The sequence below is a fragment of the Homo sapiens genome, chromosome 1, assembly GCF_000001405.40.
Source record: "Homo sapiens chromosome 1, GRCh38.p14 Primary Assembly".
Taxonomy (NCBI): Eukaryota; Metazoa; Chordata; class Mammalia; order Primates; family Hominidae; genus Homo; species Homo sapiens.
The window spans coordinates 27,721,613-27,743,184 of NC_000001.11; the positions used below are offsets into that span (position 1 = coordinate 27,721,613).

At 45.4% G+C, this 21,572-nt stretch overlaps 1 protein-coding gene and 1 pseudogene across 6 annotated transcripts in view, besides 3 other annotated features; both read left to right on the top strand.

Annotated features, from left to right (window-relative positions):
- Positions 3,693-4,335: a silencer, noted in NCBI's record as "fragment chr1:28051816-28052458 (GRCh37/hg19 assembly coordinates)". NCBI's record gives its function as "represses an EF-1alpha promoter that drives an FKBP-Casp9 reporter gene in an ReSE screen in HepG2 liver carcinoma cells {active_cell/tissue: HepG2}" and the evidence as "EXISTENCE:reporter gene assay evidence [ECO:0000049][PMID:32094911]".
- Positions 3,693-4,873: a biological region, named in NCBI's record as "ReSE screen-validated silencer GRCh37_chr1:28051816-28052458".
- Positions 4,174-4,873: a silencer, noted in NCBI's record as "silent region_528". NCBI's record gives its function as "represses an Ori minimal core promoter by ATAC-STARR-seq in GM12878 lymphoblastoid cells {active_cell/tissue: GM12878}" and the evidence as "EXISTENCE:reporter gene assay evidence [ECO:0000049][PMID:35858748]".
- The window catches only part of FAM76A (family with sequence similarity 76 member A), a 37,156-nt gene continuing 19,932 nt past the window's right edge, over positions 4,349-21,572 (top strand). For 3 of the 6 annotated variants that reach the window (NM_152660.3, NM_001143914.2, XM_017000543.3), the window contains exons 1-4: positions 4,349-4,549; positions 5,860-5,924; positions 10,991-11,045; positions 12,419-12,571. In NM_152660.3, coding sequence (NP_689873.1) covers positions 4,469-4,549; positions 5,860-5,924; positions 10,991-11,045; positions 12,419-12,571 — 354 coding nt within the window. In that variant the 5' untranslated portion in view covers positions 4,349-4,468. Of the gene's footprint in view, positions 4,550-5,859; positions 5,925-8,619; positions 8,722-10,990; positions 11,046-12,418; positions 12,572-21,572 lie in introns of all 6 variants that reach the window. The other 3 variants (NM_001143912.2, NM_001143913.2, NM_001143915.2) reach the window with 2 other exon arrangements.
- On the top strand, positions 18,318-19,220 carry RPEP3 (ribulose-5-phosphate-3-epimerase pseudogene 3; annotated as a pseudogene).

Genomic DNA, 21,572 nt, shown 5'->3' on the forward strand with positions numbered 1-21,572 from the left:
CTACAAAAATCCAAACCATATTTCTATGAAAAATACAAAAATTAGCTGGGCGTGGTGGCACAGGTCTGTAATCCCAGCTACTTGGGAGGCTGAGGCAGGAGAATCCCTTGAACCCAGGAGGCAGAGGTTGCAGTGAGCTGAGATTGCACCATTGCACTTCAGCCTGGACAACAAGAGCAAAACTCCCTCTCAAAAAAATGAATTAATTAATTAATTAAATAAAAAATAAATATTTATCGAATGAATGGTTCAATTAGCTTTGTGAAGGGGTTATAGAGATGGCCTTGATATGATGGCCCACAGTCTGATGAAAACCAATAGGTAATTGTAAAACTGGTAATAGAGTGGAACTCAAAACTGAAGACAGTGGGAACAAAGAGAGGCTCTTACCCCACTGTAGGGTTTGTGTGTGAAAAGGGAGGCTGTGTTTACACGATTCAGTGCACCAGCATCTCTCTAGAAGAAATGCAGTTTTTTCTTCCAATACTAACATATATTAGTGTGCCAAGTTACATGTACTGTTTCTTGTTTGTTTTGTTTTTAATGTGCTCAGAATTATACAGCTTCTAAGTAGTAGAGCTGGGATTCAGTCACACAGTCTGGCTCTGAGCTTGCATTTTTCTTTTTTCTTTTCTTTTTGTTTGAGACGGAGTCTGGCTCTGTCGCCCAGGCTGGAGTGCAGTGTGGCGCAATATCAGCTCACTGCAACTTCTGCCTCCCGGGTTCAAGCAATTCTCCTGCCTCAGTCTACTGAGTAGCTGGGATAACGAGCACTCACCAGATGCCCAGCTATTTTCTGTATTTTTAGTAGAGATAGGGTTTCACCATGTTGGCCAGGCTGGTCTCGAACTCCTGACCTCAAGTGATCTGTCCCCCTCGGCCTCTCAAAGTGTTGGGATTACAGGCGTGAGCCACCACGCCCAGCCACTTACATTCTTTTTTTTAAAAAAAAAACATAATTTGAGGCCAGATGCAGTGGTTCACAACTGTAATCCTAGCACTTTGGGAGGCTGAGGTGGAAGGATCACTTGAGCCTAGGAGTTGGAGAGCAGCCTGGACAATACAGTGAAACTCCGCCTCTATAAAAAATACAAAAATTGGCCAGGCGCAGTGGCTCACGCCTGTAATCCCAGCACTTCGGGAGGCCGAGGCAGGCAGATCACGAGGTCAGGAGTTCAAGACCAGCCTGGTCAATATGGTGAAGCCCCATCTCTACTAAAAATACAAAAATTAGCTGGGCATGGTCACGCATGCCTGTAATCCCAGCTACTCGGGAGGCTGAGGCAGGTGAATTGCTTGAACCTGCGAGGCGGAGGTTGCAGTGAGCCGAGATCACGCCACTGTACTCCAGCCTGGGCAACAGAGTGAGACTACGTCTCAAACAAACAAACAAAAAAATTAGCCTGCCGTGAAGAACTTGGTAGTGTGTGCCTGTAGTCTCAGCTTCTCAGGAAGCTGAGGTTGGAGTATCACCTGAGCCCAGGGATGTTGAGGCTGCAGGGAGCCAAGATTGAGCCTTTGCACTCCATCCTGGGGGAGAGTGAGACCCTCTCTCAAAAAGTAATAATAATAATAATTTGAAATGAAATTCACATAACATAAAATTAAGCATTTTAAAGTGAACAATTCAGTGGTATTTAGTATATTCACCATGTTGAGGCTGGGCGTGGTGGCTCACACCTGTAATCCCAGATTTTGGGAGGCTGAGGCGGGCAGATTACTTGAGGTCGGGAGCTCGAGACCAGCCTGGCCAACATGGCAAAAACCATCTCTACTAAGAATACAAAAATTAGCCGGCCACGGTGGTGCATGCCTGTAATTCCAGCTACTCAGGAGGCTGAGGCAGGAGAATCGCTTGAACCCGGGAGGTGGAGGTTGCAGTGAGCTGAGATCGCACCACTGCACTCCAGCCTGGGTGACAGAGTAAGACTCCGTCACAAGAAAAAAAAAAAAAAAGCCGGGCACAGTGGCTCACGCCTGTAGTCCCAGCACTTTAGGAGGCCGAGGCAGGCGGATCAACTGATCCAGGAACTCCTGAGGTCAGGAGTTCAAGACCAGCCTGGTCAACATGGTGAACTCCATCTCTACTAAAAATACAAAAGTTATCCAGGGGTGGTGGCACGCGCCTGTAATCCCAGCTACTCAGGAGGCTGAGGCAGGAGAATCACCTGAACCCCTGGGAGGTGGAGGTTGCAGTGAGCCAAGATTGCGCCACTGCACTCCAGTCTGGGAGACAGAGCCAGACTCTGTCTCAAAAAAAAAAAAAAAAAAAAAGTATATTCACCATGTTGAACAACCGTTACCTCTATCTAGTTCCAAAACATTTTCATCACTCCAAAAGCCCCTTACCCATTAAACAATTTCCCCACATTTTCCTCCACGTACTGTTTTTATTTGTATTTGCATATATATTTTGAGACAGGGTCTCACTCTGTCACCTAGGCTGGAGTGCAGTGGCATAATCATGGCTCAGGGCAGCCTCGACTGTCCAGGCTCAAGGGATCCTCCCGCCTCAGCCGCCTGAGTAGCTGGAACCACAGGCTCGTGCCACCACACCCGGCTAATTTTTAAAAAAGTTTTTTTGTAGAAATGGGGTCCCACTGTGTTGCACAGGCTGGTCTTTTTTTTTTTTTTTTTGAGACGGAGTCTTGCCCCGTAGTCCAGGCTGGAATTCAGTGGCATGATCTTGGCTCACTGCAACCTCTGCCTCCCAGGTTCAAGCAATTCTCTTGTCTCAGCCTCCCGAGTAGCTGGGACTACAGGCGCCTGCCACCACGCCCGGGTAATTTTTGTATTTTAGTAGAGACAGGGTTTGACCTTGTTGGTCAGGCTGGTCTGGAACTCCTGACCTCAGGTGATCCTCGGGTGATTCACCCGCCTCGGCCTCCCAAAGTGCTGGGATTACAGGCGTGAGCCACCGCGTCCGGCCGACCCAGGCTGGTCTTAAATCCCAAGGCTCAAGTGATCCTCTGGCCTCAGCCTCCCAAAGTGCTGGGATTACAGTTGTGAGCCATCCCGCCCCGACTCATGTACTGGTTTTGATTCTCACAATGACCTCATTGTACAATTGAGAAAAACGAGGCCGTGAGAAGTTCAGTGATAGATCCAAGGTCATGTAGTTAGTTGTGGAACAGTGATTTGGAAACTTTGCTTTCTGATCCTAATGATTAATGCACATCTTTGGGGGATCCTACAAGGAAGCAGCCAGATTTGGGTTCAGAGAGAGTAAATTTTTTTTGTTGAGGCAGGGAAATAGAAGCCATTAAGTCAGTTTTTAATTGTAAAAAGCGCACGTTGAGGTAAAACTGCAATTAGTCCTGTACGGGTGGTTGGCAGAGCCAAGAGTAACCTATGCCCAAGAGCAGCTACAAGGCAGGACTTGGATAGGTCAGCAGTGCAGGAAGCTTTGCCAACACCTCAAGAACAAGAAGTCTGTCATTCCTTGGGCAGCTCCTATACATGCCAAGCTGGAGCCAAAGAGAGGCAGGGGAGCCCGGAGGGCGTGGCTTGCCTTCCGGAAGTCAGGCCTCGTCAGGAATCACCAGGTGGTTGCTTGCGAGAGAAGCTGGGGGTGAAACCGGAGAAAACAAAGTAGGAAGCAGGTCTGGGCCAATTGCAGCCCACTCTGATGGGGGCCTGCAGGCCACCGGACGCCTGAATATCTGTCCAATCCCTCCTGGAAGGACTGCCATCTCTTTAGTCCCTCTTCCGCAGCATAGGGGTGCTCTCTCTGGGGCTCTCCTTTTCTCTCCTAAGGCCCACAGCCCCACAGTTCCCTATTTAGGTGTCTTAAATTGAGGACACACTTCTAAATTGTCCCTCAGAGTCTCGTCTCCTCCTTTGAGCGAGGCTGGGCGGGCTCCTCCTGCTCCGATTATGAGGAACTTCTTTCCCAAGCTCCCCACCTTCTTTGGGCTTGGACGGCTGCAGAGTTCCAGTTAACTGTGCGCCGCCTTCGTTCCAATTGTACCCCTCGTGCTCCCAGAGGGCAGCTCCATGGAAACCAAAACATCACAAATCCCCGAAGGTATCGCGAGAAGCGCAGATGCGCCTGAGGCCGTGGAGAGGCGGAGCGAGGGCGGGAACGCTGAGCAAGTAGGGCGGAGCCTAAGCTCTTCCGAGGTCCCGGCCGGGAGCCTGTCCCCTCCAGGTGGCGCCCCCGCGTGACTGCGCTTTACATAATCGCGGCCTGGAGCGTCACAGTGGCGTACTCCAGGCCAGACCGAATCAGAGTGGGCGAAAGCTCCGTGTTCCGCCCCTTCCCACTTGATCGACGTCAAAGCCCACCAGTGAGCGGGCGTCTAGAGTCGCCGTGCCCGCCCCAGCCCGCCCGGGTCCGCCCCGACCCGCCTGCGCCCGCCCGCCTGCCGCAGCCAGCAGCCTGCAGCCGCCGCCGGGTTGTGCCTCAGACTGTCAGATAAATCGGCGGGCCGGGCCGGCGGGTCGGTGAGCGCGGCCCGGGCCGGACATGGCGGCGCTCTACGCCTGCACCAAGTGCCACCAGCGCTTCCCCTTCGAGGCGCTGTCTCAGGGGCAGCAGCTGTGCAAGGTGCGCGGGCTGGGGCGGCGGCCGGGAACTGGGGACGCAGGAGGCGCGGCCCGGAGCTCCAGATTCTGTGGGGACGCCCGGCGGGGTCCCCGGAGCAGGGTGTGGCAGGCCCGCCAGGCTGAGGAGCCGCACCCACCCCGCTGGGGGCCGGCGGGGCACGTGCGGGAGCCGGGACCCGGTCCAGGCTCCCGCGGCCGGCGTGTCCGGGTGCTTAGCAACCGTGGGGATTGTTCTCGGACCCCGTGAGGTCGGGGGAGGGACAGCGGGTCCCCTGCTTGCCCTGACTGGTCGCCTTCGGGATCCCTTTGCGCTGCCTCCCCCGCCGCCGCGGTCTCCCTGGTGGGGACCTCCTGCCCCTCCTGGGACTGAACTCCAAAGTTGGGTGCTGCCTTGGAGGAATGTGTCGAACTCGGGCTCCTCACGGGCACTTTTCGACCAGTTTCAGAATCGGAGGTAGCAAGGCTTGATTTTTTTTTTTTTTTTAAGCATCTCACTTTTCGGCCAGTCTCAGAATCGGAGGCAGCAAGGCTTTATGTTTTAAAAAAGCCCCACAGTCAGGCTCACAGATCCGAGGGATCACTTCTCAGCATCCAGTTGGTGGTCTTCGGTCTTCCCTGACTAGCTGCTGATCAGTTTTTGCTCCTGAAGGTCCAACTTCTCTTTTTCTTTTAAGTTGCTTTATCCCACTTTTACTTTTTAAGTGACTAGAGGTGCTGTGAGGCAACAGTTAAAAAGTCACCAAACTGGCTGAAGAATAATGTTGAGGTTATCCAATAATCCAGTTTGTGTCTCTGATTTGGATAACTCATAATTGTCACTTTTGCCTCAGATGGTCATGACTTTCCATTTGCCAGTTTTTATATACCAGGTCTGGGGGAATGCAAGTGCTTGAGTGCCCTTTTTGGCCTCAAAATATGTATATATGATTTTAAGGAAGTTATGTATATATAAATAATAATTTTAATCCAGCACTTTCATTTCACAAGTAAACCGCAAAATCACACAGTGGCAGAAGAACCAGGCCTGGAATTCAGGGCTTCTGATTCCCAGTCTGGGACTTGTTCATATATATGTTTGTTTTACAATTTATGGCTAGTTCCATATAATCCATATAAGTTCTTACTTAACTCCCACATCAACAGTAGGGAAGTGATGCCAGTATTACAGAGGAGAAAAATAAGGCCCAGAAAGTTTAAGTGACTCACTCAAGCATAGTAGCTATGCTAGAAATAGTACCCAGGTCGGCTTCCTACTGAAGGCTGTTTCCATTTGTGACTGCCTTTTAAAATTATATCCTCATTTCATTTCAGGAATGTCGGATTGCACACCCTGTTGTGAAGTGCACCTACTGCAGGACTGAGTACCAGCAGGAGAGGTAGAGTTTTGTTGACCATGAAAGATATTAATAGGCTTTTTTCCTCTTAAAATCTGTAATTGATTGCATTTCATGTACAGATGCTATAATCAGTTGCATTGTAAAATACAGATCTGTAATCAATCACATTATATACAGACTATAATTGCTAAATATTTAGGTCTATGATCCATCTTGAGTTAATTCATGTGTGGGGTGAGATATACAATGAAGGGTATATAATACATGTATTGTTTCCTAGTTATTATCCATTGATTGCTTAAATTTTTTTTTTTTTTTTTTTTTTTTTGAGATGGAGTCTCACTCTGTCACCCAGGCTGGAATGAAGTGGTATGATCTCAGCTCACTGCAACCCTTCCCTCCCAGGTTCAAGCGATTCTTATGCCTCAGCCTCCCAAGTAGCTGAGATTACAGGTGCCTGCCACCATGTCCGGCTAGTTTTTTTGTATTTTTAGTAGACGGGGTTTCACCATCTTGGCCAGGTTGGTCTTGAACTCCTGACCTCGTGATCCACCCGCCTCAGCCTCACAAAGTGCTGGGATTACAGGCGTGAGCCACCACGCCCAGCCTGCTTAAATTTTTAAAGTTCTTTTTAAGACCCTTGATCATTTTATATTGTGATTATAATCTTTTTGTCAAGAAGAAACCAATCCCACAACAGTAAAACATGAGCCTCATGTTTCAATATGTACATACACAGAGATTGAAGAATTTATAAGCCCAAAGAAGATACTTTTGGAAATGTGACAATCCTGATAAGAGTTTGCTAGCTCTAGTCACATTTGAAACTCACTTGCCATTACACTTTCCTTGGGCAAATCTCTTTTTTTGTTTGAAACAGAGTCTCTCTCTCCCAGTCAGGTTGGGGTGCAGTGGAGCCGTCATGGCTCACTGCAGCCTGGACCTCCCGGGCCCAAGTGATCCTCCCACCTCAGCCTACCAAGTAACTGGGACCACAGGTGTGTGCCACCACGCCCAGCTAATTTTTTTATTTTTGTAGAGATAAGATTTTGCCATGTTACCCAGGCTGGTCTCTTACTCATGGGCCCAAGTGATTCCTTCCTCGTTAGCCTCTCAAGATGTTGGAATTACAGGCGTGAGCCACCACGCCTGGGCAAATCTCATTTTTAAAAGTGTGAAATGGGCTGGGTACGGTGGCTCATGCCTGTAAACCCAACACTTTGGGAGGCTGAGGCAGGTGTATCACCTGAGGTCAGAAGTTCGAGACCAGCCTGGCTAACATGACGAAACCCAGTCTCTACTAAAAATACAAAAAAATTACCTGGGTGTGGTGGCACACACCTGTAGTCCCAGCTACTTGGGGGGCTGAGGCAGGAGAATTGCTTGAACCCAGGAGGTGGAGGTTGCGGTGAGCTGAGATTGCGCCACTGCACTCCAGCCTGGGTGACGGGGGGAAACTCTGTCTCAAAAAAAAAAAAAAGTGTGAAATGCAGGTATGAGTGGTCAGACATCTTTAGGGGGCATTTCCATAGCAACAAAGTGATTTTTTTTTGGTACCAAGTTTGATTCTTGTGGAACTTCTGTGAGTGTAGGTGATCCTGCCTTGAGGAGAGTGGGATCTATTTGTTAATTCATCCATTAGACCTAGAAGCCTATTTTTAATTATTCATTTCAATTCTTAGAATATCTTCTCCAAGATTTTATCATGGATTTTTTTTTTTCTTTTATGAGACAGGGTCTCTCTCTGTCACCCAAGCTGGAGTGCAGTGAGATGATCTCAGCTCACTGCAACCTCCCCTCTCCGGGCTCAAATGATCCTCCCACCTCAGCCTCCCATATAGCTGGGACCAGGGGTGCACACCACCACACCCAGCTTTTTTTTTGTATCTTTAGTAGAGACAGGGGTCTTGCCATGTTGCCCAGGCTGGTCTAGAACTCTTGAGCTCAACCAGTCTGCCTGCCTCGGCCTCCCAAAGTGCTGGAATTACAGGCGTGACCGACCACACCCAGCCTATCATGGATGTTTTCAAACAAAAAAAAAAGGTTAAAAGAATTAGTGAACACCCATATGCCCTCTACTTAAATTCTATCATATACACTTTACTATATATTCACCTATCCATCTGTTCATCTCTCTCTCCATCACTATATCAATTCATTTTATTTCTGATGTATTTAAAGTTGCAGACATCAGTATACATGACCCTTAAACACTTCAGCATGCACAGCATTATTTAGAGTTAAATATTTGTTTGCAGCTCTTTTTGTGTGTGTGTGGCAAAATTGGCTTACACTAACATGCTTGAATCTTAAATGCATCAAGTTTTACAAACATAGACATCTGTGTAGCCCCAAACCCTATCAAAATACAGAATGTTACTGTCACCCCATAGAGTCCTCTCATGCCCCATCCTAGACAATCCCCACACCCTTGCTTCCTCCAGGCAACCCCTGTTCTACTTTTCATTTCCACCATAAATTAGTTTTGCCTATTCTGGGACTTCATGTTAGTGGAATCATACTCTAGAAGCTTTATATGTTAGCTCTTAAATTTAGGTCTATGGTCCATCTTGAGTTAATTCATATGTGGGGTGAGATAGGAACTATGACCCTTTATTTACACTATACATACAAATTAATTCAAGATGGATCATAGAGTTAGTTTTTCTTTTCTTTTTCTTTTCTTTTTTTTTTGTTGTTGTTGTTGAGACAGAGTTTCGCTCTTGTTGCCCAGGCTAGAGTGCAATGGCACGATCTCGGCTCACTGCAACCTCCACCTCCCAGGTTCAAGCGATTCTCCTGCCTCATCCTCCCGAGTAGCTGGGATTACAGGCATGTACCACCGCGCCCAACTAATTTTGTATTTTTAGTAGAGATGGGGTTTCTCCTTGTTAATCAGGCTGGTCTCAAACTCCGGACCTCCGGTGGTCTGCCTGCCTCGGCCTCCCAAAGTGCTGGGATTACAGGCATGAGCCACCGCGCCCAGCCTAGAGTTAGTTTTTCTTTGCATGTTTTTTAACATGTTAGGAACATATGTATATATTGACATCTACCCCATTCCTTCAGTAGTAAATCTAGGCGTAAATCAAAATGCTATTCTACATCACAGAATCATTGATGGTAATCCTCTTTCTAGAGATTTCTTTGAATGTCCTTCACTTATTTTACTGTCTTTTAAAAGTAACAGAAAATTGCCCTGAAAAATAATTTATAATTTAAATATTTTCTACTCTGAGGTTTTTCTTTTGTCTATTTTAACTTTATAGTCACTTTCACAGGAATTATATGGGAAAATGATCACAAAGCAGAGAATAGACTAGTTTTTTGTGTGTGTGTGTGACAGGGTCTCACTCTGTCACTCAGGCTGGAGTGCGGTGGCACAATTGTAGCCCACTGAAACCTTGAACTCCCAGGCTGAGCCTCCTAAAGTGCTGGGATTACAGGCATGAGCCACTGTGCCTGGCCTTAAGATTTTTATGTGATTTATTAGTTTTTAGCCCCAAAGTACTGTTTAAATTGTTCTTACACATAAGACATTCATTTTTACCTCCTCATGTGAAGAGTTAGACTTTTATTTGAAGATGATTTTTCCCCCGGGCAGCTTTATTAATTCACACATTTAGGTAATAGGACCTCTGGATCTTCACAAGGCAAAGGATGTTTTTATTTTTGTCAGTGCTTAACTCTTAGAGAAATCAGAATTTTTTTTTTTTTTTTTTTTTTTTCGAGACACAGTTTTGCTGTTGCCCAGGCTGGAGTGCAATGGCGCAATCTTGGCTCACTGCAACTTCCATCTCCCAGGTTCAAGCGATTCTTCTGCCTCAGCCCCCTGAGTAGCTGGGATTACAGGCACACACCACCACGCCTGGCTAATTTTTTTGAATTTTTAGTAAAGACATGGTTTCACCATGTTGGCCAGGCTGGTCTCAAACTCCTGACCTCAGGTGATCTGCCTGCCTTGGCCTCCCAAAGTGCTGGGATTACAGGCATGAGCTACCGTGCCCGGCCTAAATATTGACAAAATATTTGATCATAGTGTCTTTTTCCCCACCTCTGGTGTTTTCATATGCCTTTACTTATGAAGGAGAGCACAGAGTAAGGTTAGCAAAGATAGAATCTCTGAGTTTATATTCCAGACACACATACTTTATTTGTCACCTCAAATTTCCCAACTATTCATCCGAATTAAGGAGAATTTATTTTTTTTTCCTGCTAGTCCATTTTAGTATAATATTTTGAGGGTGTTTTCTGTATCTGATAATTTTATTTAGTGATACTTGGGGATGTCATAATCAGAAATAACTCACTCTCCATTTTAGCCAAAGCCTCACTTGTTTTTTTGAGACGGAGTTTTGCTTTTGTTGCCCAGGCTGGAGTGCAGTGGTGAGGTCTCGGCTTACTGCAACCTCCGCCTCCCGGGTTCAAGTGATTCTCTTGTCTCAGCCTCCCAAGTAGCTGAGATTACAGGCACGCGCCACCACGCCTGGCTAATTTTTGTATTTTTAGTAGAGATGGAGTTTCACCATGTTGGCTGGGCTGGTCTCGGACTCCTGACCTCAGGTGATCCACCTCCCTCAGCCTCCCAAAGTGCTGGGATTATAGGCGTGAGCCACCACGCCCAGCCACATAATAATTAAAAGAGTTATTAGAGGCTAGGTGTAGTGTCTCACATCTGTAATCCCATCAGTTTGGGAGGCCAAGGCAGATGGATCGCTTGAGGTCAGGAGTTTGAGACCAGCCTGGCCAACATGGCGAAACCTTGTCTCTATCAAAAATATAAAAATTAGTTGGGTGTGGTGGTGCGCGCCTATGATTCCAGCTACTTGGGAGGCTGAGGCATGAGAATCGCTTGAACTTGGGAGGCAGAGGTTATAGTGAGCAGATTGCACCACTGCACTCCAGCCTGGGGAACAGAGTGAGACTCTGTCTCAAAAATATTGAATAAAAATAAAAGAGTTATTAGAAAGGTACTCAAGCTAGTGTTAACCAAGCATCCAGACCATATCTCACTTTGGCCCTTAGCAATGAGCAAATTCCTTGGGCTTAAGGAGGTATCAGTTTTCAGATATTCTAAGAAAAGCCTGTGTCTCTTTCTTCCTTAACAGTAAAACCAATACAATATGCAAGAAATGTGCTCAGAACGTGCAGTTGTATGGAACGGTAAGTAGGATATTTTCAAACCTAACAGTGAGTACTAGGGTCTTGTGGAACCTTACCTTCTGTGGCCTACTAATGCCATTACAATATTTTTATTAGAATAAATGGTTATGTGTAATATATCTGATACTGATTTCAGCTTTCACATTTAGCTAATGCTTATTGTTAAGGAACTCTGTGTTTATGGTCACACTGCCAGGATTATGATTATAATTTTCATTGAGAGGCTTCAGTGACCAGTATGGAAAGAGAAAGGGAAAGATGAAATTTTTTGTTTTTGTTTTTGTTTTTTTTTTTTTGTGACTGAGTCTTGGTCTGTCACCCAGGCTGGAGTGGAATGGCAGTCAAGTTCACTGCAACCTCCACCTCCTGGGTTCAAGTGATTCTCCTGCCTCAGCCTCCCGAGTAGCTGGGACTACAGGCACATGCCACCACACCTGGCTGATTTTTGTATTTTAGTAGAGATGGGGTTTCACCATGTTGGTCAGGCTGGTCTCGGACTCCTGAACTCAAGTGATCTGCCCACCTCAGCCTCCCAAAGTGCTGGGATCACAGGCGTGAGCCACTGCACCCGGCAAGATGAATTTTTATAACTTTGACCCCTTTGTTTGGTAACAGTTGACTAGTCATTTTGATGAATGATTCTCTTTTTCTCTTAGTGTTACAGTTCAGGATGTTATGTGCTTGTAAGCATTCTCCCAACATGTTTATGTACTGATAATAGCAAAGAGGCCTTTTCAGAAATTTGGAAGCCCTTGCTGGTTTCTCCAAAGAGCTGGTTCTGTTGCATGTCTCATAGAAGTCTCTGCATACATACTAATGGGTTTTTGTTATTTGTTTATTTATTTATTTAAAAATCAATAGTCCTGTGCAGAAAAACACTTCACATAGTATTAAGAATTGGGCTTCATGGCCGGGCGTGGTGGCTCACACCTATAATCCCAGCACATTGGGAGGCTGAGGCAGGCGGATCACCTGAGGTCAGGAGTTCTAGACCAGCCTGGCCAACATGGTGAAACCCCATCTCTAGGAAATAATACAAAAATTAGCTGGGCATAGTGGCAGGCACCTGTAATCCCAGCTACTCCGGAGGCTGAGGCAGGAAGAATTGCTTTAACCCGGGAGGTGGAGGTTGCATTGAGCTGAGATTGCGCCACTGCACTCCAGCCTGGGCAACAGAGCGAGACTCAAAAAACAAAAACAACAACAATAAAAAAGAATTGGGCTTCATTTGGTCAATATAAAAGCAGATTTATGAAGTCGGCAATACATTTGTACCATGACTAATGAACTACAAAGTAGGAATTATTGCTTTTTTAAATGCAGTGGTATTTTATGAAAGTAATACTTACTTGACTCTTTTTTCCCCTTTTAAGCCCAAACCTTGTCAGTATTGCAACATAATTGCAGCATTTATTGGGAATAAATGCCAGCGCTGCACAAATTCAGAAAAGAAGTATGGACCACCCTATTCTTGTGAACAGTGCAAGCAGCAGTGTGCATTTGACAGGAAAGATGATAGAAAGAAGGTAAATCTCTGTTTTTCTTGATTTCTTTTTTTCCTTTCAGAGAAATTAAGGTGGACTAACTGTGTTAAAAACACATTTAATAGGCCGGGCGTGGTGGCTCATGCCTGTAATCCCAGCACTTTGGGAGGCCGAGGCTAGTGGATCATGAGGTCAGGAGATCAAGACTATCGTGGCTAACATGGTGAAACCGCGTCTCTACTAAAAATACAAAAAATTAGCCAGGCGTGGTGGCATGCGCCTGTAGTCCCAGCTACTCAGGAGGCTGGGGCAGAAGAATCACTTGAACCCGGGAGGCAGAGGTTGCAGTGAGCTGAGATCATGCCACTGCACTCCAGCCTGAGTGACAGAGCAAGACTCTATCTCAAAACAAAAAAACAAAAAAACACACATTTAACAAAGAAAGATTTCTCAGTTTCTTTCCTGGTTCTATTATTGACCTTAAAGAAGATATTCATATTTTGTTTTCTTCATTCATAAAATGTGGACCATTATATTCTAACATTTCACGAGAATTGAATTACAGTGATCACGTAAGTGAAATGGTGATTGGCAGAATTCTATGGAATTCTGTAAAGGAGAGATTGTAACTTAAGCAAGATGGAGTGGCATTACCAGTTTTACTATCTGGCTCTTTAAATGTTTCTATCTGTTGGCTCTTTAAATGTTTTTATCTGTTGAAATTCAAGATTACAAGATTACATTAGAGGGAAGCTCTATGTGGAAGGGTGTACCTTGAGAGAATCAAAATGATTTAGAGTTTGGTCATATTACTCTCTTGCTTAAAATCCTCCACGGGTTTCCAGTTGTGCTTAGAATAAAACTCAAATCCCTTCTATGGCCTGCAAGGCCCATGCGCAGCTCTCAGTCTCATCTTGCATCATACTTTCTACCTCTCACCTTGCTCCAGCCATCCTGGCCACCCTGTAGTCTGTCTGACATGCGGATCTCACTCCGACCTTTGCACTGTCTGTCCTTGTGCCTAATGCATCCTTCTCTAGAGTCTCATAACTGGCTCCTCATGTCAGGTTTCAGCTCAGGTACCACCTGCTCACAGTGACCTTTTACTGACTCCCTTAGTCATTATTTATCATACCATTTTATTGTCTTCATAGCATCTCACATATCGAAAACTAGTCTTGCTTATTTGGTTGCATGTTTGTCCACCCCGACTAGAATGTGAGCTCTTTGTCCATCTCGTTCTCTGCTTTATTTCCAGTGGCCTGGCACATAGTAGCTGCTCAATAAGTATTTGTTGAATAAAAGATGGCAGTTGAGAAACTCTTTTTCAGTGGCCAGAGGTGCTTTTAAGAGGTGCTTGGGCTCAAGGGCTGACTCTTGCTTACCAAATTCATTAACTTACAATGGAAGGATATAACTTTCTATTGACCAGGATACTCCTGCCTGCCAACCAGGACATCTCTTCCCTGTATCAAGATCCTGAAGAATCTGAATTAGTAATCAGGAGGTAGCACAAGCAGCAGTCCCCCAAACCTGGGTCCCATCCGACTCCTGGGGCTAGCTGAATGACCCTGGCTACTTACCCGCATTATGCATCACTTTCTTCATCTTTCTCCATGGGAATAACAGTAGTTACTTCACAAACACATGGGGAAATGTAATTCAGATAGGTATATAAAACAATATTGAACCTGGCACATAATATAACTGAGTAAATGGCTCCTGTATTATTACTGATAGGAATAGTTCATTTTTACTAATCTGGTTATACTAGAATTCATTACCTTTCTGCTTTATAAATTACAATCCTGTCTCAAGTATTTAGATATTTTTAGACATCTACATGTTCATAAACTTTAGGAGAGAGCTAAATTTAGGGATTAAGAGTAGGGGATCTGGGCCAACCCTGGTGGCTTGTGCCTGTAATCCCAACACTTTGGGAGGCTGAAGTGGATGGATCACGAGGTCAGGAGTTTGAGACCAGCCTGGCTAACATGATGAAACCCCGTCTCTACCAAAAATATAAAAAAATTAACCGGGCGTGGTGGCGCACACCTGTAATCCCAGCTACTTGGGAGGCTGAAGCAGGAGAATCACTTGAACCTGAGAGGCAGAGGTTGCAGTGAGCCAAGATTACACCACTGCACTCTAGCCTGGGCAACAGAGCAAGACTTCATCTCAAAAAAAAGGAAAGCGGGGAGGGTATCTGGACTCAGAATGTGTGGATTGAAATCTTAGTTCTGTCACTTATTAACTGTGTGACTTTGGGCATGTTAATCTATCAATGCCTCAGTTTCCACATCTGTAAAAGGGGATGATCAGATCTTAGTGCTGTTACAAAGGTCAAGATACTAGTAAAACTCTTAGAACGGAATCTGGTACATGAAAAATACTCAGTGTTATCTATGATGATTTGTTTTTGATAGTTTAAATCTCAGAGGATGCTATTTTATTTTATTTTTTTGAGATGGAGTCTCAGTCTATCACCCAGGCTGGAGTGCAGTGGCACGACCTCAGCTCACCACAACCTCTGCCTCCCAGGTTCAAGTGATTCTCCTACCTCAGCCTCCAGAGCAGCTGGGATTACAGGTGCACGCCACCACGCCTGGCTAATTTTTTTATTTTTTTATTTTTTAAATTTTTGTATTTTTAGTAGAGATGGGGTTTCACCATGTTGGCCAGGCTGGTCTCGAACTCCTGACCTCAAACTACTGACCTCAAGTGATCAGCCCACCTCGGCCTCCCAAAATGCTGGGAGTACAGATGTGAGCCACCACGTCTGGCCAGTGCTCTTTTATTTCTTTTTGTTGTTGTTGTTGTTTGAGACGGAGTTTCGCTGTTGTTGTTGCCCAGGCTAGAGTGCAATGGCACGATCTCGGCTCACCACAACCTCCACCTCCTAGGTTCAAGCAATTCTCCTGCCTCAGCCTCCCGAGTAGCTGGGATTACAGGCATGCGCCACCATGCCCAGCTAATTTTGTATTTTTAGTAGAGGCAGGGTTTCTCCATGTTAGTCAGGCTGCTCTCGAATTGCTGATCTCAGGTGATCTACCCGCCTCAGCCTCCCAAAGTGCTAGGATTACAAGCATGAGCCACCGTGCCCGGCCTGCTCTTTTATTTCTAAAGTTTATTTTTAAGAGACAGATCTGAAAAAAATGTCTTGTGGATCTATGTGCAATTTTTATATTCATTGTTTGTTCTCTTTTAGTAGAGTTGTATTGTTTTAAACCCTTTAATGAAAGCTCTTACCTGGGGAAGGTCTTACAGGGTGTTTTAAAATTATGCCTTAAATGCCAGGTGCAGTAGCTCATGCCTGTATTCCCAGCACTTTGGGAGGCTGAAGTGGGCGGATCGCTTGAGGCCAGGAGTTCAAGACCAGCCTGGGCAACATGGCAAAACCCTGTCACTATTAAAAATACAAAAATCTCGGCCGGGCACGTTGGCTCACGGCTGTAATCCCAGCACTTTGGGAGGCCAAGGCAGGCAGATCACTTGAGGTCAGGAGATTAAGACCAGCCTGGCCAACATGGTGAAACACTGTTTCTACAAAAAATACAAAAATTAGCCGGGCATGGTGACATGTGCCTATAATCCCAGCTACTCAGCAGGCTGAGGTGGGAGAATCGCTTGAACCTGGGAGGCAGAGGTTGCAGTGAGCTGAGATCGTGCCTCTGCACTCCAGGCTGGGTAACAGAGTGAGACTCCATCTCAAAACAACAACAACAACAAAAAAAAAAAAAAAAAAAAAAAACAGAAAAAAAAAATTAGCCAGGCGTGGTGGTGCATGTGTGGTTCCAGCTACCTGGGAGGCTGAGGTGGGAAGATCTCTTGAGCCTAGGAGTACGAGGCTCCAGTGAGCTGTAATTATACCACTGCACTGCAATGTGGGTGAGAGAATGAGACCCTATCTATAAAATAAATAAAATTAGGTCTTCAAGCCAGGCCTGATGGCATCCTGTGGTAGTTCCAGCTACCCTAGAGGCTGAGGTGGGAGGATCACTTGAGCCCAGGAGTTCGAGTCCAGCCTGAGTAACATAGTGAGACTTTGTCTCTAAAAAAATAATAATAGGCCAGGCGTAGTGGCTCACGCCTGTAATCCCAGCACTTTAGAAGGCTGAGGAGGGTGGATCACGAGGTCAGGAGTTCGAGATCAGCCTGGCCAACATGGTGAAACCCCGTCTCTACTAAAAATACAAAAATAAGCCGGGCATGGTGGCATATGCCTGTAATCCCAGCTACTCAGGAGACTGAGGCAGGAGAATAGCTTGAATCCTGCAGTGAGCCAAGATCACGCCCCTGCACTCCAGCCTGGGTGGCAGAGCAAGACTCTGTCTCAAAAAAAAAATAATAATAATAATATTAATAATAATAAACAGACTTTCAGGTCGTATCCCATAACCGTGAAATGAACCAGATTGAAGTTTGGTTTCAAAGTTCATTGTTACGTTTCTTAACAAAAAATTAAATGCCTATCATGTACCAGACACTGTTCCAGGTATTAGAAATAAACTAATGAACTGAACAGACAAGACCTTACTCTCACAGAGCTTACATTTATGTGTGTGAAAGAGAAAAGGGTGAGGAGAAAAATAAATTAACATAAATTTTAGATATTAGTGCTATAAAGAAATAAAGTACATGACAGAGAGTGACTGGGAAGTCAGCCTATATTGGGCAATCAGGAGAACCTCTGAGGAAGTAACATTTGAGTGGAAACTAGGATGATGAAAAGGTGGTAGCCATGGGAAGCTCTGGAGGACAAAAATTCCAGGAAGAAGGACCAGCTGTGGAAAATCCTTAAGGCAGGAATGAGCTTGGCACATGATTAGAACAGAAAGAAGATGGAGTGAACCTGGGGAAAAGGAAGGAAACAAGGTTATAGAGGCAGGTAAGGGGCTATATTTAAGTCAACATAGGCCATGAGGCACACTGCAGATAGCCCACTACACTACAAGGAGGTGTGTGTGAAGCTTTGAGGAGTTCACCTGGGCTGTGGAACGCCACAATGACAAGACCATTTTCACCTACTTTATCAGTTCTAAGGATGCTGGAGGAAAAGCTGGTGCCCCTATTGTATGCATGCTGAACCAGGGGCTGAAGCATGTTAGTGAAGGATGTGTGTTCGCCTACTGCCAAGTAGAAGAAAAGCCTTATTGGAAAGATCCAAATAATGACTTCAGAAAAAACTTGGAAGTAACCACAGTGCCTACACTACTTAAATATGGAACACCTCAAAAACTGGTAGAATCTTAGTGTCTTCAGGCCAACCTCGTGGAAATGTTTTTCTCTAAGGATTAAGATTTGATGATGGCAATTATGTCTCGATTTTCTGATTTGTTCTAGTATAAAAAAAAACTGCATATGGCAGGGTGTGGTGGCTCACACCTGTAATCGTAGCACTTTGGGAGGCCGAGGCAGGTGGATCACTTGAGCCCAGGAGTTGGAGACCAGCCTGGACAACATGGCAAAAGCCCGTCTCTATAAAAAATACAAAAAATTAGCAGGATGTGGTGGTGCACGCCTGTAGTCTCGGCTACTTGGGAGGCTGAGGTAGGAGGCTCACCTGAGCCTGGGAAGTCGAGGCTGCAGTGAGCCAAGATTGCACCAGTGCACTCCAGCCTGGGCGAGATTGTGAGACCCTGTCACAAAAATGCATACTTGCTTTGAATTCATGTTAGCAATAAATAAATGATAATGTTAAAAAAAATAGGCTATGGTACAGAGTTTGAATTTTAAGCTATGATGAGAAACCATTGGGTTTTAAGGAGAGAAGATGGACTCATAGGGTAACTTACCCTTGGGAGCCAGTGCTATGGCTTTAGGCTGCAAGATTGGCTCGCCCATCCTCAACAGCAACCTGGCCAGTTTAGGGGTCAAGTGCCTCCGTATTCTAGACTCTGGGTCCACCTGGATGTCATGGATGGGCACTTTGTTCCCAACGTCACCTTTGGTTATCCTGTGGTAGAAAGCTTTCAAAAGCAGCTAGTCCAGGACCTTTTCTTTGACATACATGTGATGGTGTCCAAGCTGGAACAGTGGGTAAAATCAATAGCTATAGCAGAAGCCAGTCAGTACACCTTTCATCTTGAGGCTACTAAGTACTCAGAGGCTTTGATTGAAGACATTTGGGAGAATGGGATGAAGGTTGGCCTTACCATCAAACCAGGAACTACAGTTGAGTATTTGGCACCATGGACTAATCAAATAGATACGGCCTTGGTTATCACAGTGGAACCTGGGTTTGGAAGGCAGAAATTCATGGATGATATGGTGCCAAACATTCACTGGTTGAGGACCCAGTTCCCATCTTTGGATAAGAGGTCGATGGTGGAGTAGGTCCTGACACTGTCCACAAGTGTGCAGAGGCAGGAGCTAACATGATTATGTCTGGAAGCGTTGTTATGAGGAGTGAGGACCCCAGATCTGTGATTGACTTGTTAAGAAATATATGTTCAGAAGCCACTCAAAAACATTCTCTTGATCAGTGAGACCACAAGGAGCCCAATGTTGCTGCTCGTGAGATCTCCTTTTTACCAGAAAACAGGAATATTGACTACCAAATCATATTGCAGCTGAGGCAATACTGCTTTTCTGAGCAATTATTCATTCTAATGATTAAAATTGATTGTGCAGAATATTCTAAGAGGTTACAAATTGGCATGTCTAACTACATTTTTAGTGAAGCAATTTAACAATTCATGTGGGGCCCGGGTGTGGTGGCTCACACCTGTAATCCCAGCACTTTGGGAGGCCGAGGAGGGAGGATCACCTGAGGTCAGGAGCTCGAGACCAGCCTCAACATGGAGAAACCCCATCTCTACTAAAATACAAAATTAGCCGGGCGTGGTGGTGCATGCCTATAATCCTATAATCCCAGCTACTCGTGAGGCTGAGGCAGGAGAATTGCTTGAACCTGGGAGGCGGAGGTTGCAGTGAGCCGAGATCACGCCATTGCACTCCAGCCTGGGCAACAAGAGCGAAACTCCGTCTCAAAAAAAAAAAACAACAACAATTCATGTGGTGAAATACCCAGTTTTTATTGGGAGATTTGATTTTTTTTTTTTTTTTTTTTTTGAGGCAGAGTCTCACTCTGTCATCCAGGCTGGAGTACAAGTAGTACAATCTAGACTCACTACAGCCGCAGCCTCCCAGGCTCAGGCGATCCTTCCAAGTAGCTAGGACTACAGGCATGTGCCACCACGCCCAGCTAATCTTTGTACTTTTTGTCGAGACAAGGTTTCACCATGGTCTCAAGCAATCTGCCTACCTCAGCCTTCCAAAGTGCTGGGATTACAGGTGTGAGCCACTGCGCCCACTTGATTTTTCATAAAGAGTAAAAATATGGCTGCATTAAGGTTACAAACAGAAATGTGTCTTAATGCCTAAGGAGGGCATATTAGCTACACTATAAAAAAAATTTTTTTTCCATTTTACAGTAGAGAGAAATAGAAAAACAGGCCAGGCAACGGTGGCTTACACCTGTAATCCCAGCACTTTGAAAGGCCAAGGTGGGTGGATCACCTGAGGTCAGGAGTTTGAGACCAGCCTGGCCAACGTGGTGAAACCCCATCTCTACTAAAAATATAAAAAAATTAGCCAGGCGTGGTGGTGGGCGCCTGTAATCCCAGCTACTTGGGAGGCTGAGGCAGGAGAATTGCTTGAACCCAGGAGACGAAGGTTGCAGTGAGTCAACACAGTGTCTCTGTGCTCCAGCCTGGGTGACAAAGTGAGACTCTATCTCAAAAAAAAAAAAAAGAGAGAGGATGTAATCATTTACATTTAAGAAACCCTTTGGCGGCTATGGGGAAATAGCTTATTGGAGGTAGGGTGATCATTTGGGCAGCTCTCACAGCAGTGAGAGATGAGTATGTCTTTAGTAAAATGGAAGCAGTGGAGTTAGAAAGAAGTGAGTAGATTCAGACTGATGGACTTACTGATGGGTTGGGGGATGGGGAGCAAAGAGGCTTTTGCCAATGAAATAAAACACTTCAGGTAAATGATGACGTGGCCTACCCATGTTCAAGATGAGGCACAAGATCTAATTTCAGAAATAAGAAATGAAAACTGTAAAATTCCATAATGTATCAGCATACTCCCTGTCTAACCTGAGAAATTCCAACCAGCCCTGCTGCCCTGTCACCTGTCCTAGTGTGTCCTCCAGTGGTTTTTCAGTCTGAATGCTGCACAGAGACACCACAGCTTCAGAGGGTGGCAGAAGCCATGTTATGCTTTCCTAGCTTTGGGCCCTGCTCCATGGTGCAGAGTTACTTTTGCTCAAAGGAGTCAACTTTTTCTAATTCAAACAGTGCCATGGCAGGCCACCACGAGGGACTGGGCCCTGGAAGCTGTTCACTCATTGTTCTTTCTCTGGGGACCATCTTTCCATCTGAGAGATGGTATCCAGCATACCACTTTGTGAACCATTTATAAAGTATTAAAACTGAGGTATAGGAGGGTGGGTTTGGGGAGATGTTGGCCAAAGGATTTCAGTTACATAGGAGGAATAAGTTGAAGAGATCCATTGTACAACATGGTGATTATAGTTAATAAAATTATAGTTGAAATTATAGTTGAAAATTGTTAAGAGAGTAGATTTTAAATGTTCTCACCACAAAAAAACAAACAAAAACACAACTGGGCGAGGTGCAGTGGCTCACGCCTGTAATCCCAGCGCTTTGGGAGGCCGAGGCGGGCAGATCACGAGGTCAGGAGTTCGAGACCAGCCTGGCCATCGTGGTGAAACTCCGTCTCTACTAAAAATACAAAAAAAAATTAGCTGGGTGTGATGGCAGGCGCTTGTAATCCCAGCTACTTGGGAGGCTGAGGTAGGAGAATTGCTTGAACCCAGGAGATGGAGGTTGCAGTGAGCTGAGACTGTGCCACTGCAACTCCAGCCTGGGCAACACAGCAAGACTCTGTCTCAAAAACAAACAAACAAAAATTATATGAGGTAATGCGTGTTAATTAGCTTGATTTAGCCATTCCACAATGTATACATTTTTAAAAAATATCTATTTATTCATTTTTGAGAAAGGGTCTCGCT